Source organism: Homo sapiens, chromosome 19, assembly GCF_000001405.40.
Source record: "Homo sapiens chromosome 19, GRCh38.p14 Primary Assembly".
Taxonomy (NCBI): domain Eukaryota; kingdom Metazoa; phylum Chordata; class Mammalia; order Primates; family Hominidae; genus Homo; species Homo sapiens.
The window spans coordinates 7,250,517-7,263,662 of NC_000019.10; the positions used below are offsets into that span (position 1 = coordinate 7,250,517).

A 13,146-nucleotide genomic window follows, 5' to 3' on the forward strand; every position below is an offset into this window, starting at 1 on the left:
GAGGAAGGGAGAGGGAGGGAGAGAAGGAAGGAAGGGAGGAAATAAAGAAAAAGGAAGGAAGGAGGGAGGGAAGGAAGGAAGGAGAGGAGGGAGGGAGGGAGGGCAGGGAGGAAGAAGATGAGAGTTCGGGCAACCGTGTTTAAAAAACGGTGTGTTTTTCTTTAAAACAAAAGAAAAAGAAAAAAAATCAAAGAACACACCACCACTCAGAGCCATGTGCAAACGAACAGCATCAAGCATGGTCGCCTTTGAAAACAGCTGACTGCAGAGAGTGCTGAAATGGTACTTGTTAAATAAAGTCAGTCCAAGAGGTAGAACCTGAGTGTGACCCTAGCTCTGAGTCTGGAGCTCAGAGGGGCAAGCAGAACTGTCCCAGGAACGTACGATCAGCAACACTCAGACTGGGGACTGCACCCCAAGCCAGAAAGCCCAGCTCTTCAACAGAGAGAAGGTAAAAGGAAAGGGATGGAGGGAGAACCTGTGGACCAGGCTTTCTGCCCCTCAGCACTATTGACATTTGGGGCTGGATCATTCTTTGTGGCTGGGCTGTCTCTGCATTGCAGGACGTTGAACGGCATCCCTGGCCTCCATCTGCTCAATGAAAGCAGTACACACACATTCCCTGGAGTTGTGACAACCAAAAAATATCTCCAGACATTGCCAAATGTCCCCTGGGAGACAAAAAAAATCACCCTCAGTTCAAAACCACTGCTAGAGACCCAAACAAACACATCAATTTATTTTATTGTGTTAATTTTTGAGCCAGGGTCTTGCTCTGTCACGCAGGCTGGAGTGCAATATGCAATCTCGGCTCATTACAGCCTCAACCTTCTGTGCTCAAGCGATCCTCCCACCTCAGCCTCCCGAGTAGCTGGGACTACAGGCATGCACCACCATGCTCGGCTAATTTTTTATTTTATTTTTAGTAGAGATGGGGTCTCACTATGTTGTCCAGGCTGGTCTCCAACTCTTGGCTTCAAGTGATCCTCCCGCCTCAGCCTCCCAAAGTGCTGAGATTACAGGCATGAGCCACCATGCCCGGCCATCAATTTTTTTTTTTAATGGGCAAAGCTAAATATTTGTCTACAGATTCACACTTGGGTGATAAAACTATACAGAAAGAAGGAAGTGATGTCTACAAAAGACAGGACAGTGACTACTCTGGGGGAAGAGGCCTGTGACTAGGATGTGGTCCGTGGCATGGCTTTTGGAGGGGGTGTTCTGGCAAAGTACTATTTCTCAACCAGAGTTAGGGATTATATGAGTGTTGACGTTAGAGTGAACCATTAGGCTATTCATTTGTTTGGTGTGGCTTTTCTGAACCTGTGGTTTTTTTATGTAATAAGATAGAATTTTTTAAAGTAAAACCAAAAAAAGAAAAGAAAAAGAAATCTTGATTCCATTAATTAAATATAGAATTACCAACTGACCCAGCGATTCCACTCCTAGGTATAACTTCGAAAGAAGTGAAAATAGCCCAGGTGCGGTGGCTCACGCCTGTAATTGTAGCACTTTGGGTGGCTGAGGTGGGTGGATCACCTGAGGTCCGGAGTTCAAGACCAGCCTGGCCAACATGGCGAAACCCTGTCTCTACTGAAAATACAAAAATTTGCCAGTGCGTAGTGGCGCACGCCTGTAATCCCAGCACTTTGGGAGGTCGAGGTGGGTGGATCACTTGAGGTCAGGAGTTCAAGACCATTCTGGCCAACATGACGAAACCCCATCTCTACTAAAAATACAAAAAAAGTAGCCAGGCGTGGTGGTGTTCACCTATAATCCCAGTTACTCAGGAGGCTGAGGCAGGAGAATCGCTTGAATCCAGGAGGTTGCAGTGAGCTGAGATCACGCCACTGCACTCCAGCCTGGGTGACAGAGCAAGACTCCATCTCAAAAAAAAAACAAATTTAAAGAAAAGGAATCTTGACCACTTTGGATCAAACCCGTCTGCTAGGTTAGTCAATTTATTTGCAAATGAGGAAACTCTTAACATCATCACCACCAATGAGGCAGCCTGGGACAAGAGCCTTGTTCACCAGCCGACGGGCTTTGCAGGTGGTCAGTAAACAACGCCGTGCTTCGCACACCGCGTGTGGACATGACTAGCTGCCAGCGCTTTAAAGCCCATCCTTATCAGACCTCCGAGTAAAAATGTTTTCCTTCCCCAGGTAAGCCCTTGGAAACACTCGGTAATAAAGCCTATTAAACAACCATTCTTTCTGGGCTACACTCAATAAGCCATGGAGTCATTAAAGATCCAAGACCCTCCTCGCCTGGGACAAAACGAGAGGCAAAGAAACTTCTAGGATAAAGAAGCCACAGCCAGGCGCGGTGGCTCACGCCTGTAATCCCAGCACCCTGGGAGGCCAAGGCGGGCAGATCACAAGGTCAAGAGATTGAGACCATCCTGGCCAACATGGTGAAACCCTGTCTCTACTAAAATACAAAAAAATTAGCCGGGCGTGGTGGCGGGCGCCTGTAGTCCCAGCTACTCAGGAGGCTGAGGCGGGGGAATCCCTTGAACCCGGGAGGCGGAGGTTGCAGCGAGCCAAGATCGTGCCACAGCACTCCAGCCTGGTGACAGAGTGAGACTCCGCCAAAAAAAAAAAATAGAAGAAGCCACAGGACCCTCTACCCCAAACCCTCTAGGTAGGTACTTGACAATGGTGGGCTTCACCTACCACATGCCCTACAGTGTAATTTTTTATTTATTTATTTGTTTATTTATTTATTTAATTATTTGATACGAGGTTTTGCTTTTGTCACCCAGGCTGGAGTGCAGTGACGTGATCTCGACTCACTGCAACCTCCACCTCCCGGGTTCAAGCAATCCTCCTGCCTCAGCCCCCCGAGTAGCTGGGATTACAGGTTCCAACCACCAGCCCGGCTTATTTTTGTATTTTTAGTAGAGACGGGGTTTCACCACGTTGGCCAGGCTGGTCTCGAACTCCTGACCTCAAGTGATCTGCCCGCCTCAGCCTCCCCGAGTGCTGGGATTACAGGCGTGTGCCTGGCCCCTCCAGTGCAAATTTGATGATCATGCTAAGTCCAGTGTGTTGAAAGACTTTGGTCCACTTCCCAAACCTGTGATTGGAGGAAGGTGGCCCAATCTGCAGCCACTCCTCGGGCCCCAGGATGATAGGTAACCAGGGAGCAGAGGAGAGCAATGCTTTCAACACTTTCTTGTTTGCTTCCCACTCTTGACATCATTTATGTTTAAAAATGAGCAAACGGGCCGAGTGTGGTGGCTCACGCCTGTCATCCCAACACTTTGGGAGGCTGAGGCTGGTGGATCATTTGAGGCCAGGAGTTTGAGACTAGCCTGGCCAACCTGGTGAAACCCCGTCTTCACTAAAAAATACAAAAATCAGCCGGGCGTGGTGGCATGCCCCTGTAATCCCAGCACTCAGGAGGCTGAGGTAGGAGAATCGCTTGAACCTGGGAGGCAGAGGTTGCAGTGAGCCGAGATTGTGTCACTGTGCTCCAGCCTGGGTGACAGAGCGAAACTCCATCTCAAAAAAAAAAAGAAAAAAGAAAAGAAAAGAAAAAAGGAAAAGGAAAAATGAGCAAACAGGTCGGCCTGGTGGCTGACACCTGTAATCCTAACACTTTGGGCTTCCCAAAGTGGGAGGATTGCTTGAGTCTAAGAGTTCAAGACCAGCCTGGGCAACATAGCAAAATCCCCATCTCTACAAAAAGAAAAATTTAAAAAATAAATTAGCCAGGGATGGTGGTGCGCACCTGTAGTCTTAGCTAATGGGGGAGGCTGAAGCGAGAGGGTCACTTGAGGACAGGAATTTGTGAGCTGCCTGGGAAACATAGCAAGACTCCATCTCTTTAATAAATAAGTAAATAAGTAAATAAAATTAGCTGGGCGTGGTGGCATGCACCCATAGTTCCAGCTACTGGCCAGGCTGAGGCTGGAGGATTGCTTGAGCCCAAAAGGCTGAGGCTGCAGTGAGCTATGATCGCACCACTGCACTGCAGCCTGGGTGACAGAGCAAGACCCCATCTCAAAAACAAACAAACAAACAACAAAATAAAAAAGTAGAGAGGGAAGACAGAGGAAAGGGGAGATAGGATAAGGGGTACAATCTTGAAACTCCAGCACACACATCACCTCCTTTTACTGGGAAATGCACGGTTCTATCTGACACAGGCGCATTGAGAGAAACAGATCACTGAAGGACCTGGGCTGCCAGCCTGACGCACAGGCGCTCGCTGACTTCCTTGGGTCCTCCCCGGGGCATTTCAGGTGTTCAGTCACAAAGAACAGATTTTAATTCTGACAAAGGGTCGGGTGACATGGGAAGTAACCGGTCAGTGAGTATCAGGTAGGAGGAAGGAAAAGAAAAACTTGTCAGGCCAGTCACCAAGTTAGCAGACAGCCAAAGGGAAAGCCGCCTTTCCATTACGATGGATTTTAACTCTACCCGCCTTCTTCCCAAAAGGATTGGGCCAAAAGGTCAGTTTCAACTGATAGCCCTCAGCCTCCCCCGGCCCCCCTCCCCGGTCCCCGCACCCACCCGCTCCAGGAAGCCAGGCAATGGTGGGAATTGTAAATTCGTTATCTTCACCACTCAAGATTTAGACAGCATCATCTCTGGGGCAGCCAAGTGACCACACGGTCAACTGGTCTACCATCTTTCAGCGCAGCCTTGAACCCACCAAAACACTTTCTGCCCACCCATCAGCTTATCTAACCTGATAGTTACTTTGACTTCCTCCCTGACTCAGCAAGGACTTCGGGGACGCAACAAAAAGCCTGGCTCAGCAAGGCTGTCCACTCAGTATTGGTGGAAACAGCCCCTCCTAAACACAGCCCCTGTGTGACCTTCATGACGGCATTGGAGCCCATAAGGACCCTGCACTGGTCCAAGCCTCCCTTCCCGGCATGAGGCACCCTCTTCACTCTTGCCCACAAAACGCCTCTTGGCCTTCTCTTTGCCATTTCATCCACCCGAATACCCTTCCCTCTCACCCTGTCTTTTCTTTTTTTTTTTTTTTCTTGTCTTGTCTTTTCTCTTTCTTTCTTTCTTTCTTTCCTTCCTTCCTTCCTTCTGTTTTTGTTTGTTTGTTTTTGAGACAGGGTCTCACTCTGTTACCCAGGCTGGGGTACAGTGGTGTAATCATAGCTCATTGCAGCCTCAAAGTCCCAGGCTCAAGCGATCCTCCCACCTCAGACTCCTGAGTAGCTGGGACTATAGGCACACAGCACCATGCTTGGCTAATTTTTTAAAATTTTTTGTAGAGATGGGGTCTTGCTATGTTGCCCAGGCTGAGCTCGAATTCTAGGTTCAAGTGATCCTCCTGCCTCGGCCTCCCAAAGTGCTGGGTTTACAGGTATGACCCACCACACCCAACCTCATCTTCTTTCTTTGTGATCCTTGCCACCCAAACCAAAGCACATCTCTGCCACTCCAATCTGGAACAATCTCTCCTCTTTTACAAAGGCCAACGGCAATTCATCTTCAACCCCCGGAAGAGGAGCCGGGAGCCCAGAAACATACTCTCTAGGGTACTTGTTCTTTCCTGCTCTACAAAATCCAATCATCTCCAAAGTGAAAAGTTTGTTTAAAAAATTTCAATCAAATTTTTAAAATTTATTTTATTTTAAAATAAAATAAAAATGAATAAATAAGGGCTGGGCATGGCGGCTCACGCCTGTAATCCCAGCGCTTTGGGAGGCCAAAGTGGGAGGATCACCTGAGGTCAGGAGTTCGAGACCACCCTGGCCAACATAGTGAAACCCTGTCTCTACTAAAAATACAAAAAAAACACAACAATTAGCCGGGTGTGGTGGTGGGCGCCTGTAGTCCCAGCTACTTGGGAGGCTGAGGCAGGAGAATCACTTGAACCCGGGAGGCAGGGGTTGCAGTGAGCCGAGATTGCGCCACTGCACTTCAGCCTGGGCAACAGAGCAAGACTCCATCTCACTAAATAAATAAATAAATAATTCCAATCCTGGCTGGCACAGTGGCTCACACCTATAATATAATGCAACAGTTTGGGAGGTTGAAGCAGGTGGATTGCTTGGGCCCAGCAGTTCAAGACCAGCCTGGGTAACGTGGTGAAACCCCATGTCTACAAAAAATACAAAAATTAGCCAGCATGGTGGTGCGTGCCTGGAATTCCAGCTACTCAGGAGGCGGAAGTAAGCCAAGATTGCGCCACTGCACCCCAGCCTGGACAACAGAGTTGAGACCCTTGTCTCAAAAAGAAAAAACAAGAAAAAAAAATGCCAATCATCTGAGTGAAAAATGAATTACAACTACTGTGGAATTTTTTTCAGTACAGTTTTTTTTGTTTGTTTCTCTCCTAGATTTTTTTTTTAAAGATCTTTGACAACATAAAAGGGAAGAAAGACGAATGAGAGATTCAAGTGGGCCATCATTCACGTTACATGCTCTACCCTACCTTTTTTTTTTTTTTTTTTTTTCTTTTTTTGAGATGGAGTCTCGCTGTGACACCCAGGCTGGAGTGCAGTGGCACAATCTCGGCTCACTGCAACCTCCGCCTCCTGGGTTCAAGCGATTCTCCTGTCTCAGTCTCCCAAGCAGCTGGGATTACAGGTGCCCACCACCATACCCAGCTAATTTTTGTATTTTTAGTAGAGACGGGGTTTCACTATGTTGGCCCAGGGTGGTCTCGAACTCCTGACCTCAGTTGATCCACCCACCTTGGCTTCCCAAAGTGCTGGGATTACAGGCCTGAGCCACCGTGCCCGGCCTCCCCCACCTTATCTTTTTCTTTTTGTTGGATCCCCGTGTGCAGGCGTTACACTTTCCTGTCTTCTGTATGGACGACAGTGACATCGCCACAAGGGAATTTATCAATATTCCCTGTTATCTAGAGAACATCATGATTTCCAGGTGCTCTGCTCCAAACACGTCTAGAAGCACGGGTTCGATGACTCACTCGAAGGGGAAAGGCGGGGTGGGAGGAGGGAGGAGGGTGGAGTGGGGGCCTTGCCTTGTACATATACTGCCCTCCTCCACCCAAACAGAGAGCTCCAAAAAAAAAAAAAAAAAATGCTAATCATCTGAGTGAAAAATGAATTACAACTACTGTGGAATTTTTTTCAGTACAGTGCTCTACCCCACATTTTTTTTTCTTTTTTTCTTTTTTGAGACAGAGTCTCAAAAAGTAAGGAAGGAAGGAAGAAAGGAAGGAGGGAAGAAAGAAAAGGAAAGAAAGGAAGGAAAGAGGGAAGGAAGGAAGGAAGTACCAGCAAAGGGCAGCTGGGCTGTATGGCCTCAGGCCGTGGTGCTCCCAAGTCCCACTGAAACAGCCTCTATCCCTGAATGCTGAATGTCCAGCTCATATATAGACAGAGTCTCACCCTGTCACCCAGGCTGGAGTGCAGTGGCGCAATCTCCACTCATTGCAACTTCCGCCTCCCAGGTTCAAGTGATTCTCCTGCCTCAGCCTCCTGAGTAGCTGGGATTACAGGTGCCCGCCACCACGCTCAGCTAATGTTTGTACATTTTTTAGTAGAGATGGGGTTTCTCCATGTTGGCCAGGGTGGTCTTGAACTCCTGGCCTCGAGTGATCTGCCCGCTTCGGCCTCCCAAGGTGCTGGGATTACAGGCATGAGCCACCATGCCCGGCCAAAAATGTGAAAAAGCATTCTTAAGCCAGGCAAGCACAGTGGCTCACGCCTATAGTCCCAGCACTTTGGGAGGCCAAGAAAGGAGGATTGCTTGAACCCAATTGTTTGAGACCAGCCTGGGCAACATAGCAAGACCCCATCTCTACTAAAAAAATAAAAAGAAATTAGCTGGGCGTGGTGGTGCCTGCCTGTGGTTCCAGCTACTGAGGAGGCTGACTGAGGTGGCAGTGGCCTATGATCACCCCACTGCACTCCAGCCCAGGCGACAGAGTGAGACCCCATCTCTAAAAATAAAAATAAAATAAAAAATTCTTAGCTCATAGGTCATACAAAAATAGCAGCTGGCGGACTGGATTTGGCCCACAGGTCGTAGTTTGCTGATCACTGGGCAAAGGCCTTACGTCAGACAAGTCTGAAGTCAAACCATTCCCCAGCTAGGTCTCCTAGAGCAAGTCTCATAATTCCTAGCCATGCCTCAGTTCCCTCTTCTGTAAAATGAGGATAACAAACCCTCATAGGCTGTGATGGGATCCCCTAAGGCATTGCTTAGCACATAGTAAGTGCTCAGTAAACACTAGCTATTGATGAGTGTTAAGGATGTCATTGTCAACTGTGAGCCAGGTACTATGACAGGTGCTTGAGATACAACAAAGTCCCTGCCTTCAGGAGAGCTTAGTCTGATAGGAGAGGCCCTAAGTCAAGACAGAATGAGAAGGCTGATAAGAAGAGGCAACACACATGTTGGCAGGGGCAAATTCTAGATTTCCTCTCCAGTTTCTTTTCCTTCTTTCCTTCCTTCCTTCCCTCCTTCCTTTCCTTCTTCCTTCCTTCCTTCCCTCCTTCCTTTTTTTCTTTCCTCCTTCCTTCCTTCACTCCTTCTTTCATTTCTCCTTCCCTCCTTTCCTTCCCTCCTTCCTTCCTTTCTTTCTTCCTTCCTTTCTCCTTCCCTCCTTCTTTCCTTCCCGCCTTCCCTCCTTCCTTCCTTCCTTTCTTTCCTTTTATTTCTTCCCTCCTTCCTTTTTTCCTTCCTTTTCTTTTCTTTCTTCCCTCCTTCCTTCCTTCCCTCCTTCCTTCCTTTCTTTTTACAGTTTCCTGCATTTCACCAACTTCCCGCAATGACATCTATAAGACACAAAGGTAAAGAGCTTGGATTCTGAGCCAGAATCCCCAGCTTCAAATCCCATCTCCACTACTTACTACCCATGTGTGTGGGGTGCGCGGCGGAAGGGGTGGGCGGGGCAGTGTTGGAAGTAGAAGTTGCTTAACCTCTCGAAGCCTTAGTGGTCTCAACAATAAATAAGATTGTTGGGAAGATGGGATGCAATATCCTAATCAAAGCACCCAGAACCACGGCTGGCATGAAATCAGCATTTGCCACAAAGACAATTCCGATTGTTAAAATACCAAGGCAAGCCCAGAGTAGTGGTTCACACCTGTAATCCCAGCACTTTGGTAGGCCAAGGCAGGCGGATCACTTGAGGCCAGGAGTTCAAGACCAGCCTAGGCAACATGGCGAAACCCCATCTCTACTAAAAATACAAACATTAGCCAGGCATGGTGGCACGTGCCTGTAATCCCAGCTACTCAGGAGGTTGAGGCAGAAGAATCGCTTGAACCCAGGAGGCGGAGGTTGCAGTGAGCTCAGATCATGCCACTGCACTCCAGCCTGGACAACAGAGCGAGACTCTGTCTCAAAAAAAAAAAAAAGAAAAAGAAAACAAAATCAAGTCAAGTCCAGCGTGGTGGCTCACATGTGAAATCTCAGCACTTTGAGAGGCTGAGGTGGGGGGATTCCTTAGAGTCCAGGAGTTTGAGACCGACCTGAGCCACATAGCAAGACTCCCATCTCAATTTAAAAAAATATTAAAAACTAAATAAAAATGTAAAAAAATAAAATATCAAGGCAAACTTTTTAAATGGAAGAAGAAAAAGAAGCAGAGAGTTTCCATAGGCAGCTAAAAATTCTGCCAAAAATCAAACCCTCCAAGAGCATGCATTTAAACTCGTGCATTTAAATACGTGATATTTAATGTGGTAGGCACAATACCACACTTTGAGAGACTTTGACTCGGAGCTGTAATCTCAGACCCAGGGAGGAGGGATTTGCTGCTTTCAGCCTCCCCCTCCTGCTTTGGTGCCGACGTCCATATGTGGCATCTCGGGTTGGTTTCCCCTGGCACCCAGCATGTCCCGGCCTCACCCACCCCTCTGGCCGGCAGTGAGCAGCTGGGGTGACCTCCCAGAAAGAAAATGCCAGTGGGTTTGGCTAAAGCAGCTGGTCAGGCAAGCCCTGTGGCTTCTGGTCCCCTCAAAATGCCCAGAGCTGAGAATTTCCAGAGCATCCCATGCTGTTGGCACCCAAAAATCAGGGTGGTCTTCCCTCTGGGGCTGGAGGTGTGGCACCCATCCCTCATCAGCAGGTCGCAAGATACATGTTCCTCTGCCTGCCTCAAAACCAAAGTCAGAAATGAGGCTGAGCCCTGGTAGATATTCACCTGGAAGCTAGTCTGCCCAGATAGGGTGGGCCCATGGTGCTTACTTACTGGAAGCTTCCAGGACACTCACGGAGCACCTGAGGCTAGGTTAAGTGCCTCCCCCTGCACCATCTCATTCAACCCCCACACCACCACCCTAAGAAGCAGGTCCCATAATGACCCCCATTTTTCAGATGGAGAAACTGAGGCTTGAACCAGCTTGTGACCAGTCAATGGTAAAACGAGACTGGAAGCCGGTGCTGCTTGCCTCAAAGAACTTCTTTTTTTTTTTTTTAAAGACAGAGTCTCACCGAGTCTCACTCTGTCGCCCAGGCTGGAGTGCAGTGGTGTGATCTCAGCTCACTGCGACCTCCGCCCCCGGGGCCCATGCGATCCTCCCACCTCAGCCTTCCAAGTAGCTGGGGTTACAGGCACCTGCCACCATGCCTGGCTAATTTTTGTATTTTTTGTCGAGACGGGGTTTCTCCATGTTGCCCAGGCTGGTCTCGAACTCCTGAGCTCAAGCAGTCTGCCCTCCTCGGCCTCCCAAAGTGCTGGCATTACAAGCATGAGCCACCGCGTCCAGCTGGCTGAACTAATGTAGATCTCCCTCTAACTCTCCCCCTCTTCTGAGTGTACTTGGTTTGATCGTGAACATCTGCATTTGCCACTAGACTGGCCGCTCTGAGGAGGCAAAGGCTGGCTCCCTTCCTATGCCCTGAGCGCCCCAGAACATGACACCTAGTAGGCAGTCAATAAACGAACTGCATAGACCCCGTCTCCACTCTTCCCATGTAAGGCTTCGTGCATTGGACCTCTCCTGGTATCTTTGCCCCAAATCCATTGCAGGATAATGGAGAGAGGGTGTCCAGGCTATGGATCATTAGCACATGCCATGTTTTTTTGTTTTTCTTTTAATTCCCCTAACCATTTTTTTTTCTTTTTTTAAAAAATGGAGTTTCACTCTGTCGGCCAGGCTGGGGTGCAATGGCACGATCTCAGCTCACTGCAACCTCTGCCTCTCGGGTTCGAGTGATTCTCCTGCCTCAGCCTCCTAAGTAGCTGGGATTACAGGCGCCCACCACCACGCCTGGCTAATTTTCATATTTTTAGTAGAGACAGCGTTTTGCTATGTTAGCCAGGCTGGTCTCGAACTCCTGACCTCAAGCGATCCACCTACCTCGGCCTCCCAAAGTGCTGGGATTACAGGTGTGGGGCCTCCACACCCGGCCCCCTTAACCATTGAAAGCCTTTTTTTGGTCTCCCTGTAAAAAGTGCTTAAGGGACAGGTAGAAGAAGGGGTGGATGTTGCTCGGAATTGCTTAAACTAGGTCCAAAGGACAAACCAGCACCTTCATCCTAAATGTTGATGCATTCCCCTGATGCTTCCAGAAGCTGCCAAGTGTGGAAGACAAAAATAGCAACTACGGATGTTCACAGAAGTATCTGAAAAGACTCTGGGGGAAAAGAGGGGTTGATGGATAGTTTTCTCCAGCCCATTTCTGTCACCTAAGACAGGGGAGTATCCTCTGAAGGCTCAATCTATTCTGTATTCAAAAATCCCATCAGACATCAAATAAGCCTCCTAAGGCTGGGCGCGGTAGCTCACGCCTGTAATCCCAGCACTTTGGGAGGCCGAGGCCAGTGGATTATCTGAGGTCAGGAGTTCAAGACCAGCCTGGCCAACATGGTGAAACCCCATCTCTACTAAAAATCCAAAACATTAACTGGGCGTGGTGGCAGGTGCCCGTAATCCGAGCCACGCGGGAGGCTGAGGCAGGAGAATCGCTTGAACCCGGGAGGCAGAGGTTGCAGTGAGCTGAGATCGCACCATTGCAATCCAGCCTGGGCGACGAGAGCAAAACTCCGTCTCAAAAAATAAATAAATAAATAAGTTTCCTAAAGCCTCAGCAACAAGGTTAATGCAGGCATTGAAAAGCTAGATGCGTCAACAGCAGTGGCCCTGATTCACAATGGCAGAAATGTGAAAGCGACCAAGTGCCCGTAGATGGATGAATACACAGGCAAAATGTGCTCCCTCCATACAATGGAACATGATTCAGCCTTAAAAAGGAAAGAATTTCCGACACAGGCTACCACGTGGATGAACCTTGAGGACAACATGCTCAGTGAAATAAGCCAGGCACAAAAGGATAAATCCCGTCTGATTCCACTCACAGGAGGTCCCTACAGTCATCACATTCATAGAGACAGAAAATAGGATGGTAGGTGCCAGGGGGCTGGGAGAGGGAGATGGTGGAGTGAGTGTTTCATGGGGACAGAGTTTCAGTTTGGGAGGATGAGAAAGTTTGGGAGATGGTGGTGGTGATGGTTGCAAAACCACGTGAACGTGCTTAATGCCACTGAAAACTGTGGACTTAAAATGGTTAAGATGGGGCCAGGCGCGGTGGCACTCACCTGTAATCCCAGCACTTTGCGAGGCTGAGGTGGGTGTATTGCTCGAGGCCAGGGGTTTGAGACCATCCTGGCCAACATGGCAAAGCCCCCTCTGTCCTGAAAATACAAAACTTAGCCGGGCATGGTGGCTGGTGCCTATAAGTCCCAGTCACTCGGAAGGCTGAGGCAGGAGAATCATTTGAATCCAGGAGGCGGAGGTTGCAGTGAGCTGAGATCACACCACTGCCCCCCAGCCTAGGTGGCAGAGCAAGACTCCATCTCAAAAAAAAAAAAAGTTAAGATGAAAAATTTATTCTATGTGTATTTTATCACAATACAAGAAATTGAAGAGGGGAAAGAAAGCTGAAGCTGAGTTGCTCTCAAAGACAGGGGCAACAGTTCAAAAAACAATCATTTTTTGGCCCCCTGGGGATACTGCTACTAATGGATGGCTGAGATATATACCACATGCCAGGAACCCGGTACCCCGGGAAGTGTTAGTCGCACCTTCTCCGGGTAACAAAACCCCCAGTACTGGAAAAACAAGCCCGGTTCTTTTTATTGTTTTGTTTTGTGTTCATTTTTGTTTTTGTTTTCTTTTGTTTTTGAGATAGAGTCTCAGTTTGTCACCCAGGCTGGAGCTCAGTGGCATGAACAGGGCTCAGT

General features: G+C 48.5%; 1 protein-coding gene across 4 annotated transcripts in view, besides 1 other annotated feature; it reads right to left on the minus strand.

Annotated features, from left to right (window-relative positions):
- Nucleotides 1-13,146, minus strand: part of INSR (insulin receptor) — a 182,150-nt gene that overhangs the window by 138,252 nt on the left and 30,752 nt on the right. The gene's annotated exons all lie outside the window — the stretch shown is intronic.
- Nucleotides 6,873-7,735: an enhancer, noted in NCBI's record as "H3K27ac hESC enhancer chr19:7257400-7258262 (GRCh37/hg19 assembly coordinates)". NCBI's record gives its function as "activates a minimal SCP1, AML or CMV promoter by ChIP-STARR-seq in primed H9 embryonic stem cells {active_cell/tissue: H9 hESC(primed)}" and the evidence as "EXISTENCE:reporter gene assay evidence [ECO:0000049][PMID:30033119]".